The sequence below is a fragment of the Homo sapiens genome, chromosome 7 (genome assembly GCF_000001405.40).
Source record: "Homo sapiens chromosome 7, GRCh38.p14 Primary Assembly".
Taxonomy (NCBI): Eukaryota; Metazoa; Chordata; class Mammalia; order Primates; family Hominidae; genus Homo; species Homo sapiens.
Genome location: NC_000007.14, coordinates 109,834,978 through 109,854,132, shown reverse-complemented (window position 1 = coordinate 109,854,132; position 19,155 = coordinate 109,834,978). Strand labels below are relative to the sequence as shown.

General features: G+C 33.7%; 1 pseudogene; it reads right to left on the bottom strand.

Moving 5' to 3' along the window:
* On the bottom strand, nt 13,519–15,290 carry LOC100128056 (CTD small phosphatase 2 pseudogene; annotated as a pseudogene).

The following is a 19,155-nucleotide window of genomic DNA, read 5'->3' as shown; positions in this document are numbered from 1 at the left end:
CCAGGCATGGTTTTGCTGAAGTACAAAACTGCCTTCACCTACAAAGAAGCAGCCAGTATTTTGACAAATATTGCAACCTACCAGTCATCTGAAAATCTAAATCTTTTCTAATATTGTTCATTCAAGATTCAAAAGATATTGATTTAAAATCTGCATGTTTCTGGAAATGTGCCCAACACTGGGGATTAAGACTCAAATAAGACAGAAAATTCTCTGCTCTGATAAAACTCACAGTGAACAAACACATATGAATATAACATACTGTCAAACTGTGTTCAGAGTTGTGGCATAAAGCACTGGTTGGCAAATGTTTTCTTAAAGTGCCCAGTAGCAAATATTTTAGGCTTTGTGGTCCATATGATCCCTGTCAAAATTATTTCACTCTGATGTAGAACTAAAGCAGCCACATACAAATTGCAAAGTTGCATTCTAATGAAACTATATTTACTAAAACAAGCAGCTGAATCTGGGGTCATGGTTTGCCAGTCCCTGGACTAGAGAATAAATGAGGATGTGGGCTTCTTGAGATAGAATTGTCAGGAGAGACCTCTCAGAGGTTGTGAGTGTGCTGAGCTCTGAATGCTAAAGTGACCAGGCATGTGAATATATGGGAGCGGAGTTGGTGAGCTAAGGGTACAACCTGTGTAAGAGCCCTCTGATAGGGAAGAACTTGGTGTTGTTGAAGAACAGAGAAAAGGCCACTGTTGCTAGAGCACAGTGTGCTGGAGTTTGAAGTTATGACCGAAGAGAGATATAGATCATATAAAGTTTTATCGACCATGTAAAGAGTTGGATTTTATTCTAGGTGGGATTGAAAGTCACTGAACTCTTTGAAGTAGAGGGATGGCATAAGTGTATGACTCTGAAAAACATGATCCTTCAAGCTGCTGTTTGGAGAAGAGGTGGGGTGGGCAAGAGCAGAAGCAGGGTGGTTACTGCAGTTAGCTCAGAAAAATATTGGTGGTTTGGACTAGCAGTGGAGATGAAAAGAATTGAGCATGATCAACATATTTTCAAGGTGAAATTGGTTGAACTAATTGAGGGCATCGGAAGGAAAGCAGACATGTAGAACTTCACACTTGGGGGTTTAAGCACATGAGTTGGGGATGAACTCTTTCAGCTTTACCTATATATACAAAATCAATTTGAAAGTTGAGCCAATTATCTGAAGAATTTAAGCAAAAAGAGCACTTTTATGCAAAACATAATTATAATATATCCTATAATTACTTCATTACTCCATTTGTGTTTTACATTTTTAAATTACAGATTAACTTTATCCAGCCAATGGTAAAATGCACTCAATTAAGAGACCTGGCAATTGGATCAGTTTTAGCTGAGTGAGGCTTTTCCAGTTAGCAAGTTTAGCTTTCTGATTTCAGAATCAAATAGGTTCCCAAGACAAATAAGACTATTTTTTAACATACACACCCATCAATATATATGCAGATGTAACCCCAAATTCAAAAAGTTAGTCTTTTTATTTTTTTCTAAAAGTAGGCATGTATATATTTATTAAACAGATTTTTTATTGAATACCTTGGATATGCTGAGAATACAGGAGCACAACAAAATCAAAGCCCATATATGGACTTTATATTGGGAGCATTAGATAATGTTTAAGTAAATGAATAAAGCAATATGTATAAATTGTGATTAATATTTACTGAGCAAATATTTTTTATTTTATTCTTTCATATCTACCTCCTCTTTCAAATTCATTACAGATTTTCTAAATGCATTTACTTTTTATTTCATTCTTTATAATCTATATACAGTCTAAGATTCTAGTTAAAATAGTAAGGGTAAAATCAGTAAAACATTTCAACACGATCACATTGCCTCAAATTGAGAAAAATCTTTGGCCCTGGTTGACAAGACTATTTTCATTTAAAAACCTCATGATTCAAGAAGAATTCACAGCATACAAAGTATATATGTTTAAGACAATTCATTATATTGTCATGGTTAGTGAATTTGTTTTTCCATTTTGATAACATTTTTGTATGGAGAATAGGTAATGGAACAATTTTTCCATTGAAGTGACCACTTTATCAGTTTAATAATTTCTCTCCAAAGTAATTTGTTGTCACAATTACTGAACAAAGGTGTGACAAGCAAACAGATACTCAAATTATTTTCATTACAACTATCATATGATAGTGATAAAAAATAAAAGAGAACCATATGAAAATTGACTTTCAGGACTAAATGTATAGTGGTTAATAGAAAGCCTTTCAGAGTGGAGAGTTTTTTTCCTATTATAGGTAAAAAGAGTCAAATAGAGAATACTGAGGAGGTTGAAATTTGAACTGGTACAAATGAGATTCAGCAAAATAAAAATGGAAACTTCAGGCCATGTCTTGAATTGACATGCAAACAATCAGTAAATATGAAATTCAGATGAGTAACATCTAAAAACTTTTCTTTATTTCTCCATTTATTTCTTATTGCCTCTTTCTCAACCTTTCTATCAACACACACTTACTGCACCTTTTTTATCTCATTTACTTTTTTTTTTTTTGGCTGGTATTGCGTCTGAAAAATAAAGTATAGCCTTTCCTTTTATCTAAAACAAAATCAGTGTTCCATGGGTAAGTATGCCACCTACCACTTCAACCTGTTGGCATGAGAAAATTCCTTTTCTGACAGTTCATACTACCTACTAGTTGATTCTAACAACCCTAGAAAGAAGTGAGATAGAAATTAATATAATGGAAGAGTGTTGATATGTTAAAATAAGTATTAACACTCTCAATCATCTAAGTACATTTTCATGGGAGGAAATTGAGCTGAACAAGAGTGTCCAAGTAATTTGAGCATTTTGGAAATCAGAATATTTTTAATTATTGTTTTTACATTCTATTTAACATTTTTCTATCTTTGAGGTTTGAAAAATAAATGCAGTTTCCCCAATGCAACATACTGCAATTTTTCTTTTAAGAATTTTATTATTATTGCTTTAATCAGAAATCGTTTTGGAGAAATATATCCCCTACACACTCACACTGTTATTACTGCTATTTGGTGCTAAATCAAATTAGCATTTGATTCTCACTTTACTTTGACTTCAGTTCAAGTATCTTTCTAAAGACAATATAGGTTTTCACTCTAATTTCCTAGTATCCTTGATTTGTTCTTCCCCCTCCACTAATCCTTTTCATGCTTTTCTCACTCCCTATGCAAAGTTCAGGTTCTCATCACTTTTTGGTATTCAGATATTCATTAATTAAACAATTCTCTTGAATCGACAATTTTTTCTCAAAATATGACTGAAAAAAGTATTGAACCCTAAATTGTCTAGTATATAAATAATAGACAATACTAACAGATATGCTCATTTGTAATGTTTCTTTAATATCACCTCCTTATTTCTTCATATACCCATTAATAAGCTCTCAGACAAAAACAGTTTAAGACAGAAAGATTCCAGGATTTTTTTTTCCTTTTGGAAGGCATAATTTTTTATTTTATTTCATCAGATTCTACTAAACAAGTAGTCTAATTCTTCTCCATAAAGAAATGAGTTTCTTTCTGAGGTTTTTATTGTTGTTTTCTTTTACTGTGGAATAAAATATCAGAAAGTAAAGGGGTAATGTGCCAAATGTGGTTATGTAATTCTTTTTTTTTTTTTTTTTTTTTGAGTTGGAGTCTCACTCTGTCACCCAGACTGGAGTACAGTGGCGTGATCTTGGCTCACTACAACCTCCACCTCCCAGGTTCAAGCAATTCTTCTGCCTCAGCCTCCCAAGTAGCTGGGATTACAGGCACACACCACCATGCCTGGCTAATTTTTTGTATTTTTAGTAGGGACAGGGTTTCACCATGTTGGCCAGGGTGGTTTTGAACTCCTGACCTCAAGTAATCCACCTGCCTCGGCTTCCCAAAGTGCTGGGATTACAGGCACGAGCCACCGCACCTGACCTGGTTAAGTAATTCTGATACAGTAGGGAATGAACAGTTACTGAATATCTATTATCAGTCTGGTTCTTTTCCTATATAACTTCACTTAATCATCAGAACACTTTTACTAAGCAGTCATTCTCTGCCTTTCGTTAATGAAGAAACTGATAAGAAATTAAAAAAACAAAATATGAACCTTGGAAATAATATTAACCTTCTCTAAGCTATTGGAACACAGTAATTTTGTATACTAACCATTAATGTGAAGAAAGATTATATATTTTTTTACCTTGAACCTCTCATGTTGTTTAAAAATAAATTCTATTTCTAGGAGGTGTTCAGTAAATGAGAAATTAATTTCTAGCTTTTATGTTCCTAAGTTCGTATCTATAATATACTTCCATAGAACTATCCTCTTTATAAAGACATCATCCATTCATTGAATAAACAATTATTTCTGGAGCTTGTACTATGTGAATCTACTGAAGATAATGAAGTGAACAAGGCAGACATTGTCCCTGCATACAGTGAGCTGCATTCTGTTGGGGATGGTATGTTAAATAACACACAAGTAATTCGTCCTTAGATATGAAGTAATGTAGACTGCTATTACAACATATACCTGTGGGATCTGAACTAATTGGGATACACAAAGAAGGCTGAGGATGCAGGTGCGAATATTTGTGCATGGACAAGTAGACTGAGTTCAGATCCTCCAAGGCCTTCTATGATTTTGAAGACATAACGATAACTTGAACTAAGATAATATCTCTACAGATGAATGTAGGTGAATAGGATTTATAGATATAGAAAAGTAAAATTAATTGAACTTGTAATTGATGGAAAATGAAGGCAGAAGTAGAGATTGGGGGATGTTAAAAAATACTTCTAGGTAAGGTTATGGTACCACAATAATGGTGATTCTCTCAGTAACTGGAATCAATGGTTTCAGGTGTTTATGTGAAGTTCTAAGCCATACCTTGGCAACATAAGTTCTATTGTGTTGCCATCATTGCTTTGGGCAGGGTAATGACAATTACTAAAACCAATAGTGATAGCATCTCACTGTGTAGAAAATCCATTTGATTTTGCAGGTAAAAAGAACAATTCTAAATTTCACTCATAGTCTAAGAACCCTTTGCATTTCCATCAGTGTCGTTTCACATTTTCATGCTACATTGTTTGGAATACCTGCTATTAAGCTACCTATTTGGTTCAGTGCACTTGTTGACTCTTTTTCTCTCCTCTTACACAGTCCCACAAGTGACCATAATATTATCTCTTCTGAAACTTGTAGGCACCTGCTGTTAGTAAGGCCACCTAACTGCTAGTTACCAAACAGTATTAGGATAACTAGCTAGAATTAAACATATTTGTATTATATCACCCAGAAGATAAATGCTTCTCAAAGTAATGCCAACACACTCATTAAAATATTTGAAAATTATATCTTTCTTGGATTCTGTCTTTCTGAAGGACAAAAATTGGCTAAACCTTATACTTTATAACATTTCATTCCTATGATAACTTTTACTGTGTATAACACACACACACACACACACACACACACACAGAGAGAGAGAGAGAGAGAGAGAGAAACAAATTATGATCTCTAAATGTATTTTTCTATTTTCTCACCCAAACACATTTTTAATTTCAGGGAAAGAGCTACAGCTTTCTCTCTAAATTAAAACATACAAAATGTAAAAAGCAGAAGAAGTACATAGTGACGAAGAGATAATGATTACTTTCCCAGCATGCTCTGTGTCACTTTCTGACATCCTTTAGATGACAACAAATTTGTAGAGAAGTAATTGAGATTATATTGGAATATTTGGGTATTCTTGATAAACTGTTTCTCAATGACACTACCCACTTATAATTGAACACACAAATTTACAATTTATTTTTTTCCAGAATTGTTTAATATAAATGAAAATAAACTAAGACCCAAACTGATAATAAACTGATAGACTGACGTTTGTCTCTTCAGGACCCTCATATATTTCTAAAGAAAAATATGATGTAATAGGATTTTATAGTTTTAGTAATCAAAGACATCTTTTGGATAAGACTACAACACCAACAAGAACATTTTTATGAAATAATGAAAACTCTTATATTAAGAAGTTTATACACTTTATTTGGTCAATTTGAATATTTTAACCCATCTATCAATCCATCCATTTATCCATGTACATTATCTTTTCAAAGTTAGTATGTTTATGCCCTTGATGGAACATATAATTCTGCTCTTTTTTCTGTTGGAATAGTAAGGCTGTAATATATAGAATGTTTTCTCAGTGATTTACAAAGACATAATCAATTGTGGATTTTTTTTATTGATACCTAAACTCTTGTATTCTTTTCAAAGGACTTTCTAATGTCAGCTCAAGCATTACAAGTTAGTAAGAAATTGCCTTCTCTTTTCTGTTAGAAATATCTAGCACATTATGTTTATGAAAGACATATTTTCATATATGAATAATTTTATTTATATTTATGCTAAGATCGTTAGGTTATTGAAAGGTAGTTCTTAAAATAAATTTATGTTTAATCATAAATTAAACATTAAACATATAAATAGTTTGTTCTTCTTTTTTGTTCTAACTTTCTTTCCAGTGCCTGTTTCAGTATCAAAATTTTCTATGCTTATGTTTCAAATGTTAGTACTACAAGAAAATAAGTATGGTAAACTTTTGTAAAATAGAAGAATCCATATATATTATGCAAGATCTTAATACAAATGATCAATAAAAGAAGAGCTGGTCTAGCTGACAAGCAGAGAGGGCACTCAGAATCTTGTCATTTCAGCCATCATCTGGCAGCTTTTTGGTCTCCATTCTCTGTCCCTGGGATACCTCAGAACTTACTAGGATTTCTCTAAGAACAGGCTGAAAATCACTGATATAGAGAAGTATCAAAACCATTTATATCAGAGGCAAAAAGATTGAAGTTCTTGATCAAACTCGACCACTGATTTGCTATGTGACTCTTAGCTTCTTTTAACTTCTGTTGGTCTCAGGTATTGAACAGCAGCATTCTCTCTTAATTCATGGGGCAAATAATGATTTATAGATCTTCACTTAAAGAAATGTATGCCTATAGATTGTATGTAAGTCAACTGAAAGTTAGAGCTACCTAACTACTGGATTACAATCAGAATTTTTGTTTTGAAAAAGTTAAAAAGATTATAGTGTCATTTTAACCCAGTACAGGTCAACTGAAACTTTATTACATGTTCACAATAATAATAATTGTTGTTATTATTCCTACTATTATAACTAAATGCAGACATCTAGATGTGTTATTTCATTTAATTTTTACCACAGGCCTGGATGAAGTCATATTTCCATTATATAAGTGAGGTAATTAAAGCTCAGAGAAGTTAAATAATTTGTCCATAGTTAGTTACAGTCATGGTTAGGATTTGAACGTAGGCTTGCTTGTCTCAACATTTGTTATTCTTAGTCAATTATTTTGCTCTCAGGAATGGTCAAGAATGATAAATTTTCTTAAGAAAATATTAAGAAAAATGTGTGCCTTAAATTTTACACAGTGATATGCAGTGAGTTCACTAGAAATTATACATATAAAATATAAAATATGAATGGAATTAAACATAAGGTGTTACCAAAAAAAAAAAAAAAGAGAGAGAGAGAAAACTTATACAGAAGGCATTTGTACTTAGGAGATTTGAGTTCTGGCCCTATTTAGCCATTGATTTTTTGTATCCTTTTAGATGTCACTTAACCTCACTGGGTCTTAATTTCTTCATTTATATAATAAATATTTTATTCTGAGGTATCTCCAAAGACCTTTCTAGTTATCAAATTATGAGATATCTAGAAATGCTGATTGGTTAATTTATATTAAAAAGTGAGAGAAAAATCCATGTAATGGCATTGCTTATTATCTAATGAAACATTTTAAAATAATTTTGATAAAGACCATTTTTAGAAGAATATTATGATTTACTTATAACTAAAATAGAAAATAAAAACACACTCATATAAAATCTTATTATCAATAATAATTGAACTATTTAATATCTGTCATCTTGAAATTATTATTAATAATACTTTTCACCTTGTAGCTATAAATACATTCCCATTTTAGCAGGTTAATGAAATTATCTTTGTAATACTATAGAAGCATTTATTTTAAGAATACCAGAAAGAACATCCTGAAAACCAAGAACTCAAAAAGGCTTTTTATCCCAAAGATATATTTTTAAAATGTATACCTATTCATCCACTTGTTTTCACAAATGGAGCTACAGAGAACTTTGAACATAATGATGTACAGCAGAGGCTTATTCCTAACATATTTAGAATTTTAGTTCAACCAAACATTGCTGTGGAAACTGAATTGAAATGCAAAATCTTACAATCCTAATTTCGAGCCACTTTCATTTTAACTTAATTTTAACATGTTTTGCAAAATGTTCCCGTATCAACTTAATAGTTACTATACCACCAAACATGGATTGTGATTATTTTATTTTCTAGATTGGCTGACAGGCTGAATAATCTTCTGCAGGGTAGTAAGTGTCAACTGCATCAAGCACATGGAGGTGGACTCACTACAGAAGGAAGGTTTTCCAAATAAAATTCCAAGTATTTTTTAATTCAGCCTGCTAAGACTTCCAGCCATTCATCGGGTCATAGAGTGTCTCCTTTAGGTTGTCGTTGTTTTTAGCCAGGTTTTGTGTAGTCAGCTTTTCAAGAAATGTAACTGCAGTTTAATCCCAGTTCTTGCAGTAAAAGTCACTTTCTTCTACCTCCCAATTAACACCTGCAGCTCAAAAACAGAGGATTTCTACTGACTCTAATATTGGAAAAGATTATATAGAGGGTTTAGGAGACATTCCCAAATACCTTATTTCTGATACAGCAGGAAGTATTTGTGGATAATATGACATTAAATTCCAACAGAGAGTAAACATAGATGCTGCAGGTTTGAAGTTATGTCCCACACTCACTAGTTGGCATTGGATCAGATTACATGACCTGGATCTTTGAATTTCCATCTGCAAAAAGAAGAATCCAGACATACTTTAAGCACGTAATAAACCCTGGGTATCTGAAACCAAATGTTGAAATTGGTTCTTTTGTCCTGGCTAAAGTGCTGAATGAACATTGTGCAAATACAAAGAAATTGATAGAGTGAATAGAACTGTAGACTGAAAACTCGTCTCAGATGGCATAATGACAGCTGGAGAAGTTTAGATAAGGAAAAATGAAATGTCAGGATTCTTGTCTTCGAGGTTTGTAGTCTGCTGGCATATGCTTCTGTTGAAGCTTTGGGAAACCCAGCCGTAATCCAATTGTTGAAAAGAGCTGGTTGAAAAAAATACATAATGTGCTTCTTATTATGATGTAGAAAAGGTTCCTATTTAAAACTAAGACAACAGAGAACCGTGAGGTTATATATATATATTCAGTTTTTCTAGTTTAAAAAATTGGAGAAAATAACTATCTACATAGTACTCAAAGCAAAAGGGAACTTATGAAAATGTATGCAAGGCTATTTTAATACTGGGGGGGAGTAACACTTAAAAAATTTCAAAACCCAAACACTTCTACCTATGCTATGTGAAAATCTCATTGTAATGCCACTTTATTGAAGTTTTTCAAAGACAGATATGGATGAGTGCTACTACACTGCCACCTGGTGATTAGGCAGGTAGGAGGGATTTCAGTAAAAATTCCTGACAAAGAAAAGATTAGGATTTGTTAATGAGTATTTAATAATACTGAATTTCTCTAATATATCCAAGTTTGTTAATAACATGAAGGTGCTTTGTATCAGGTCATATATTATTGAAAAGCATGTTCCTGGTAAATGTTAAATTGATTTCTATCAAAATGTGTGTGATCTCCATTTCATATCTACTTGCAGCTGTATCCTTCCTTGATTTATTTTAGTCTGGGTAAAGTAAATGAGTAAACTCTTTGCACAGGTTCAGGAGCTAGTGACTTGTCCTTGGAAATGGGAGAGGAAAAGAATGATATGACCTAAATTTATTCTATTTCAAATGGTGCATTTGGTGTTTGCAATCTTGACTTGTACTATCAAACTACTCATTCAATTTGGAGTTACTGATTTTATAGTCATCTTCTTCTTTTAAAAATGATTTTGCCTAGGGAAGAATGGCTTCAGCAATTTAAAGTTGGATGTCAAGGCAACAAATACAAATAAAAAAAGGAAACAAAAAGTGTGAGCATTCCATGAAGTTGCGTGTTTTCCTTCTGTTGTATTTTTACCCTGGTGGGGTTTGTTAACAATTTTAATGAGCAAATATAGGTGTTGAGACAACAAAGTTCTTAACTAACTCATTATTTGGATAGATTTATTTATCTAGTCACAGATAGGATGTTAAATTTAATATTTACTTTTATTTCCCAGTCTGTTTCTCTGCTCATACCTCTGAAGTGTAAGAGAATGTAAAGGGTTGGAACAAACCCCTGGGAGAATCTATGTGGCAGAGCCATGCTACAGAGATTCGGCTCTTCCTCAACTGAGCTAAAATAACTTCAGGAACTGCAAAATGGGAAGTGTTCTAGCCAGTGCTTTCATATACATAGCATATTCTTAGTGCTTGTGGTAAATTATGAGACAGTAGTTCACCACTAATGTGGATTTCCAGTTGAGTTAGATCATCTTCTTTTCAAACCACTATTCAAAATGTGAGATCATCTAAGCTTTTCAGTAGAAGATAAAATAATCATTTACTTATAACAGTCTTCAAGTATGCATGATCATAAAGTCTGCATTGCTGGTGAGATTCTATACAGTTATAAATGCAGACATGTGGAATCGATGTCTGATCCATACACCATTTTTAGTTTCACTATATTCGTAAGAGGATAGACAGATCTTTTTGGTTACTACAGAGGATGATGTCTTGCCAGCACGTCTATGTAGGCAAAAAGGCAATAAAATGCTAGGAGGTAAATAGTGAAAACAGTTTCTCTTGGAATGGATGTGAGATGTGGGGAGTTATAGTGCTGTACTCATATCCTGAAAAAAAAAATTCTATCCACTCAATTTTTATTTACTGACATTTTTATTTCCTGTGCTTTCCTATTAGTATGTTAGTTTATTAACTTGTCTAGGCTAACAGGTAAAAGTAGAAAGCTAATTAATTTGAGCTGAATTTTGTTCATTCTATTTCCGGAAGCAAAAAAAGAAAGATACAATAATATGGAAAAGCCTGAAGGAAGACTATTGGACAAAATATTTACAAAAAAAGAAACCTTTTCTTAAAATGGACAATCACATTTAAAATAATGTGGGCAGTTATATTCATTGCTCTTTTGAAGGATGATGAGAGATGGACTATTTATGCTCTCCTCAAACTGGGTCATGCTTTCTCCCAGTGTTTCTCCCTCAGGCTCACATTCACAATCTTCACCCAAGAGTGGAATTTTGGTTGACCAATTTTAGAAGCACTGAATAAGTGACAAAAAGGTTAGAAAGGAAGTAAAGAAGAAATCCTGCTATCTTCCTCTCTGCATTATAAACCGCCAGTGAAGTGCACAGCAGATAGTGAGCACTAATAAATCTTGGTTTGACTGAAATTTCTGAAAGGGCGATCTAAAAAAGCAGAGCTTCTCAGTTAGGAAATACGAAGGCTGAAAGCCATGTGATTCATTCCTATAAAATCACAAAGAGCAACTTGTGCACCAAATTTCAGAATCTCCCTTAAGCATGATGTCCACGGGCAAGAGTGCATTATAGCATACAAAGCACTTTAATATTCTTTATCTTACTTTCCTTTCTGACCAATTCTGGAAGACAGATAATATTCTTACTGTACATTGGGTGAAACAAGATCTTGAGAGATCTCACAACTCAAATTGAAATCAGCCATTTTTCAGACTCTTTGCAACTGCCTAAGTAGAGATTTTTTAAGACAAATAATAGAAGCCCTACTTTACACACCATAATTTGAACTTCTTACTCTGAGAAATCATTCAGGTACAAGAAAGAATTAATTCAACAGGGCTTTAGAGATTATAGAGCTTTAGAATATTTGGGATTATTAGGGTTGTTCAGTTAAAAATTCCTACTTTGAGATTTAAAACATGGGTAGCAATTCCCACATTAAATCATACCTTTTGATAGCACTGACAGTGCACAATGTTGTACATCTACTCTCTATATTGTATGTCCCATAAATACAATGATAACTATTTCAAGTCATGAAAAATTTACATTATCTGCATTTTGAAAAATGAATCTGATTTTAACTAGTAGAAACCATAACTATAACACAAAAACATCTTAGAACATAATTATTCAATAAATGTTTACAATATTTTGAAAATGTTAAAGAATAATATTGATTCTTCTGTAATGAAAAAGCTGCAGATAGTTGAATAAAGAATATCAAATAAACATTTGATAAGTTTTATAATTAATCTTTTAGATATTGAGTTCTGGGGATTATTTTTTTCTAAACACATTGTCATCATATTTGTCAAACTTGTCCTGGACCCTAAGAATAGTAATTTAATTTCTAATTTTGCTCAGAATATATGTACTTTAAATTATTTAAACAAGACTATGTAAACAAGATTTTGAATAGAGAATAAATAAAGGTAAATTATTATAGGGAAGAACCCACATTGTTCTTCCATTTCTTTTTCAGCTGCTTTTAATTGGTAGACTTTGTTGAGTGTGTCACCATCAACCACACACAAAAAATGGAAACATGTATGAATGACTCTTAAAGAATTAATAGATTCAAGCCTGCTGATTCCTTGTCAACAGGTAAGCTATTTTCCTGACTTAAGTTTTGCACCCTTGTAGCATATATAATAAAAAGGAGGAAAGAAACTCAGTCAGAATAAGAACTGGGGTACTTTGTAAACTCCTCTTATAGATGTTCATTCGTTAAATCTTACAGAAGAAACCAGAAGATTTCACATGATTGAAACAACATTGTGGTAAGTTGTGTAAGCATTTGTATTATATGTGCTTTTCCTTTTATATATATAAATAAAGTAAAAAAGGAATATTAATTTCTTCTTTAAATGGGCACATTTTCATTAACATTTCAGAAACACTTTAAAGTCTTTAAAGTATGATTGCTAAATATCAAAGCTTGAGATAATAAATAAAGTAGAATGATAGAACAAAACATAAACTAGGATGAGTTCTTCCTTATATTTCTTTTCATATGTCTGTCACCTATAAAAATGTAACCTAGAACATTAATGATTTTGTGTGTCTTATTTCTCTCTGTCTCTCTCTTTGTCAAACTAGGTAAAGTTTTGTCAATATTATTGATCTTTTTAAAGAAACATCTTTTGGTTTCATTGATTCTATTGTTTTTCTATTCTTTTTCATTTATCTTCACTCTATTCTTTACTATTTCCTTCCTTCTGGTAGTTTTAATTTGCTTGTCTTTTACTAATTCCTTAAGAAGTAAAGCTAGGCTATTTGGTAGAAATATTTTATCTTTTTTAATGTATGCATTTACTGCTATACATTTCCTTGTGAGCACTATGTTCACTGGATCATCTAAGTTTTGGTATGTTATTATTTTTATTCTCTAAATATTTTCAAATTTCGTTTGTGATTTCCTTTTTGACCCTTTAGTTTTTTTTTAAACACCCTTTTATTAATCAATTGTAAGTAATACAAATATTCCAAAAATATAAACAGACACTTAATGGCGTCCTGCATTTCAAGTTTTTGAATACAACAAATTTATCAAACTATGAATCTGTAAGCAAGGTAGTCAGAATCCCATAGCCCAGTCACAGTGGGAAGCAGATCCCCTACCCTCCAAATGGCCTCTTGAAGGGGGAAAGCGGCACAAAATGGAACATGATAAGCAAAAAAGCTCACAAGGCCCAAAGAGGAGGGTCCGCTCCAGGGGCAGGCCCTACAATGTTAAAAGAATGGGGCGGCTGGCCCGACCTCTGGCCTCCTCTTCCCTGGCTGACTGTAGATATTTACCGACATTTAGAAAAAAGGAGAAAAAGACGGAACAAAACCCCTGTTTAGGAAAAAGGGACCGAGGGACAGCAGTGGTTAAGTAATCCACTGAAGACCTGAAGGGGAAAATGGACTTACCTTTCTCATATACTTGGTCTGGCTAGGACACTGGGTGCCAGACAGCCTTCTGAGGGGATTTTCTTTCTAAATGAGGCCTCAGGAACAGGTAGGGGCAGCAGAGTAGAATAGCATCCATTTCCCAGGGAAAGACTGCCTTTACATTTCCCATGCTTTTATCACGAAGCAGCATCTGGACCACTGTTACCAGAGGTGAGTTTATACATTTACAAAATGCTTAAAATCTTTGGGAGGCAGGAGAAAGCTAAACAGAAGGTCCCAGGTTAACTGAAGGCAAATTCACTCAACCTCTCTAGTAAGGGACCCATGGGCCTACAGAGTGTCCCCTCTACAATGTGCAGAGTGGAAACCCTTACCTGACCCTTTTCCAAACTGGTTCTGTGTCCAAAGCTCCCCCTATGAGAGGGACACGAACATCAGGGTTTGATTTAGAAGCCCAATCAGAGAGACACACTGTGTCCCTGAAGAGGCACCTTAAAAGAACAGAACCTGGCAGGTAGGCAGATTCCTGGCATGGCTTGAATTCGTGCTGACCAGGCATGGTGGCCTATTGCCTCCCAAAGACCAGTCTCAAGTGGGAGGGGCTGATGGTGGGAAGCCCTAGAACAGAGTCTGGGATAAAGTGGCCACCTCCCTGTCTTGCCCTCCAAAATTGAGTCTGGCCTGATTCCTTTGAGGAGCAAATTTACAATCATCCCTCGCCCTAACACACGGTGAAACTGGAAACCCAACAGCAAATAATGACTAGGCGGGCTCTGGTCCACATGAATGGACCCTGGCTACGTTTGGCTGAGTAGCTTCTCTGGGGCAAGTGGGAATGGCATTGCTGTAGGGGATTTGCAGGTGGGCAGGCAGGGTTCTGATGGGAGTGAGGCCTAGAAAGCAGGGGCTTCATGCAGATGCAGCAGGGACACTCCCACCAAGCCATCCTGGGCTTTGGTCATGGGTCCCACACCAAGCACTTGGACAAGCCTGTTAGGAAAGGGGGTGGCACATGCTCTTCCTCCATCTGGAAAAATGTGGAGATCCAAGGGAGGGCAGAAAGTGTTCTTGCAACTCAGTCAGCTTAGAGCTTCTTATTGCTTATTTGGTCAGAAAAGCCTGGCTGGGCCCAGAAGGCAAAAGATTTGGCCAAGGACTAACCCTTAGGGTGGGGCTTGGAAGATAGGCCCCTCCTACAATATTAGGATAGCAGCCTAGGTCAGGCCTTGGGTCCAAAGACACAGCTGGCTCTAAGAGTCTGAGCTCCTGCTTTCCTTCAAGAGACCCTTTAGTTTTTTACAAGTGTGGTTCTTAATTTTCACATATAGGTGAATTTTACAGTTTTCCTTCTCTTTTCAAAAATTTCTAGGTTCATTTGTTTTAGTTTCATGATCACAAAAGATACTTGGTATAATTTCAGTCTTTTCAATTTTATTGAGACTGGCTTTATGGTCTAACAAGGGGTCTACTATGGAGAAGATTCTGTGTGCAGTTTATGCATACATAAAGTTGGCACATTTTACTTTTATTGAGTAAATTATTCTATTTATTTCTATTAGATATAGTTGGTTCATAGTATTCATCAAGTCCTATATTTTCTTATTAATCTTTTATCTACATATTTAATCCATTATTGAAAGTGGGGTATTGAAGTCTTCATCCATTACTGTAGAACTAGTTCTCTATTGAATTTTGTTAATGTCTGCTACATTGGGACTCTGTTGTTTGGTGTGTATATGTTTATAATTATTATATCTTCTTGATGGTTGTTAACATTTTCGTCACATTGTATGTCCTTCTTTGCCTCTAATAATTTTTTTGGCTTAACGTATATTTTGTCTGTATTAGTATAACCATCAATATCTCTTTTAGTTACTAGCTACATGATTATCTTTTCCCTTCTTTCATTTTTAACTTACTTGTGTATTTGGATCTAAGATGAGTAGGATATAGTTATATCATGTGTTTTTATCCATTCTGCCCATCTCTCCCCTTTGCTTGCAGTGTTCAATTCCTTTATACTTATAACAGTACTTACTGCTAAGAAATAACTTGCTTATGCCATTTTACCTTTTTTCTTTATGTCCTGAATCATTTTTTGGCCTTCCATTTCCTCCATTACTATTATCTCTCGTGTTTAGTTGTTGTTGTTTTTGTACTGCACTGTTTTGAGTCTCTTTTCATTTCCTTTTATGAATTTTCAAAAGATATTTTCTTGGTTACCATAGAGATTACAATCAACATCCTAAATTTATAACAACCTAGTTTGGATTGATACCAACTTAGCTTCAATAACATAAAAAACTCTCCTCCTGTTCAGTTCTGTCCCTTCTATCTTTATGTTGTTGTTGTTGTAAACTACATCTTTATACATTGTGTGACCAATAACATATATTTATAACTTTTTATGCATCTGTCTTTTAAATCACATAGGAAATAAAAAGTAGAGTTACAACTTTAAAACACATACTAATTTTTATATTTACCTCTGTAATTATCTTTACCAATGACCATTATTCCTTTACACTTTACAAGTCTTCAAGTTACCATCAGTGGCACTTAAATTAGGCTGAAGGGCTCTATGTAGCATTTCACCTAGGGTAGGTCTACTAGCAATACAAATAAAGGGGCAAGATTACTACCACCTTACATAAACAAAAACAGATTATAAAATAATTATATGAGCAAATATTAGCCAACACATCAGATAACATAGATGAAATGCACAAATTTCTAGGAAAACAAAATTACCTAAACTGACTCAAGAAAAATATAAAATTTCAACAGTCCTATAACATGTAAAGAGATTAAATCAGCAATCAATAGCCCCCAATGAAGAAACATCCAGGACTAGGTGGCTTTACTGATGAATTACACCAAATATTTTTAAAATTAGCACCAGTTTTTCTCAAACTCTTTTTAAAAATCAAACATGAGGGAACACTGCCTAACTATTTCCTTCAGGCTGACATTACTTTGATGCTATAAGCCCATTCAATAGGGAGAAAAATAGTTTCTTGAACAAATCGTGCTGGAACCAAATATCTGCATGCAACAGAATGTAGTTGGATTCCCATCTGTCTCCAAATTTAAAAATTAACTCACAATGGATCAGTAACTTGAATGTAAGAGCTAAAATCATACAACTTTTAGAAGAAGACACAGGGGTAAATCTTCATGAGCTTGGATTTAGTAATGCATTTCTAGATATGACACCAAAAGCATGAATATTAAAGAACAAAAACAGCTAAATTTGGCTTCATTAAAAGAAAAAAAAAATTGTGCTTAAATGACATTTTGAAGAAACTAAAAAGATAACTACAGAATGAGAGAACATATTTGGAAATCATACAACTGATAAAGGCCTACTATTCAGAACGTATTAAAGAACTGTTACTAGTCAATATCCCCTTCCTGTGTCCATGTGTTCTCATTGTTCAATTCCCATCTATGAGTGAGAACATGCGGCGTTTGGTTTTTTGTCCTTGCGATATTTTGCTGATAGCTTCATCCATGTCCCTACAAAGGACATGAACTCATCATTTTTTATGGCTGCATAGTGTTCCATGGTGTGTATGTGCCATATTTTCCTAATCCAGTCTATCGTTGTTGGACATTTTTAAAAGAGTATAGATAAATCCGTAGGGACAACATACAGATTGGCAGTTGTCAGGAATTGGGGGTGGGAGAGAGAGAACTGGGAAAAAACAGTGTATGGATAATGGGTTTTACTTTGTAATAATGGAAATATTTAATTTTCTAAAAAGGAAAAAAAATTTAAATTTCTAAAAAGGAAAAAAAAATATTTTCTGCATCTACACAGAGAAAGGATGACTTAAACAAGTGTAAGAGTTAAGCCACAACTCCCTTCTTATTTCAAACCTAATGAATTCCTGAGGTTTTGGTCGACATCTGGAATTTGCCACTATCAGAAGAGAAAGAACAAACTGGTTAAGAATTATGCCATGTGATTGGGTGTTTTGAGCCATTAGTCTTTTCAGTAGAGCAATAAAGCTTGACATCTGTATAGTAATTCTCCACTTTCCAGTCATTTTCCCACTTTGTAATGGGCAGACTGAATTTTACCACAATACACGTTTTAAATTCTTTGTTAGGATCATACAGATTAAGTCGAAATTTTGCATAGGTACTTAAAACCTAAGCTTTTACAAATTGAGAGATCTCAGCAAAGATGAAAAATAAAATCAAAAAAGAATTTTAAAAGATTCTTGAATAAGTCCAGATAGAAATTGAAGAGAATATAATACAGCTACATTCATTTCAATCACTCCTCACTTTGGTATTCTCATTCTGTGTCTTTAAAAGCATGATATTCAAGTTTTTACCTCAGTAGGCAGTATCTACCATTTAAGAGGCTCATTTTATTGTGTGAAACCCCAGGTGTCCTCTGCCTTCATTCTGTTAAGTGACAATCATGTGGCAGATAGCTTAGTGGGAACTGTAATAACACATATATTATAGAGTAAATTGTCACATTCTAAAGATCATTAAAATGATGATGATTCCTGCAGAGTCATATTAATAAGTAAAAGCTACACCTGTACTGTAAGAAGTATCCAAAACGAGTACTTTTATGACAGAATTTGACATCTCACTCACTATTGAGTATACTTAGGTTCATAAATTAACCAAGAAATTAAAAAAATTACATTCAACCAGAAGATGAGTTAATAACAGTGTGATGTATGTGTAGGGAGCAAAAGGTATGCTTCCTACTTTAGCACTACTTCCTAGCAAAATATGTTATTTCCTAACTTAGCCTACATTGCTTATAAGCTAACTAAAAATGTCAAAAATTTCAGCCAAATGTTATATTTTTCTACAATGTATTCTTTTTGCTTCATAGTTTTATCTATAATTATATGCTTCAAAATGTAAAATAGACATTTGTATGTATATTGTCTATTTGAAGTTTTGAAGATTGCATATAAATGAAAGCTCTAAACCATTCTCTCAAAGAGTTTTATATGATTTTACAATTAGAAAAAACATGATCCATGGACCATAGTTTGGTTAACAAGGCTTTAAATCATCTCTTGTTTTGTAATGCCACTTGGGTCAGAGTCAGTGAATAAATGATGTGAACAGGGGTGGGAAATGGTGAGTAAATTTAGAAATATGTTTGAACTCTTAAGTGCCATAACCAGACAAATATTT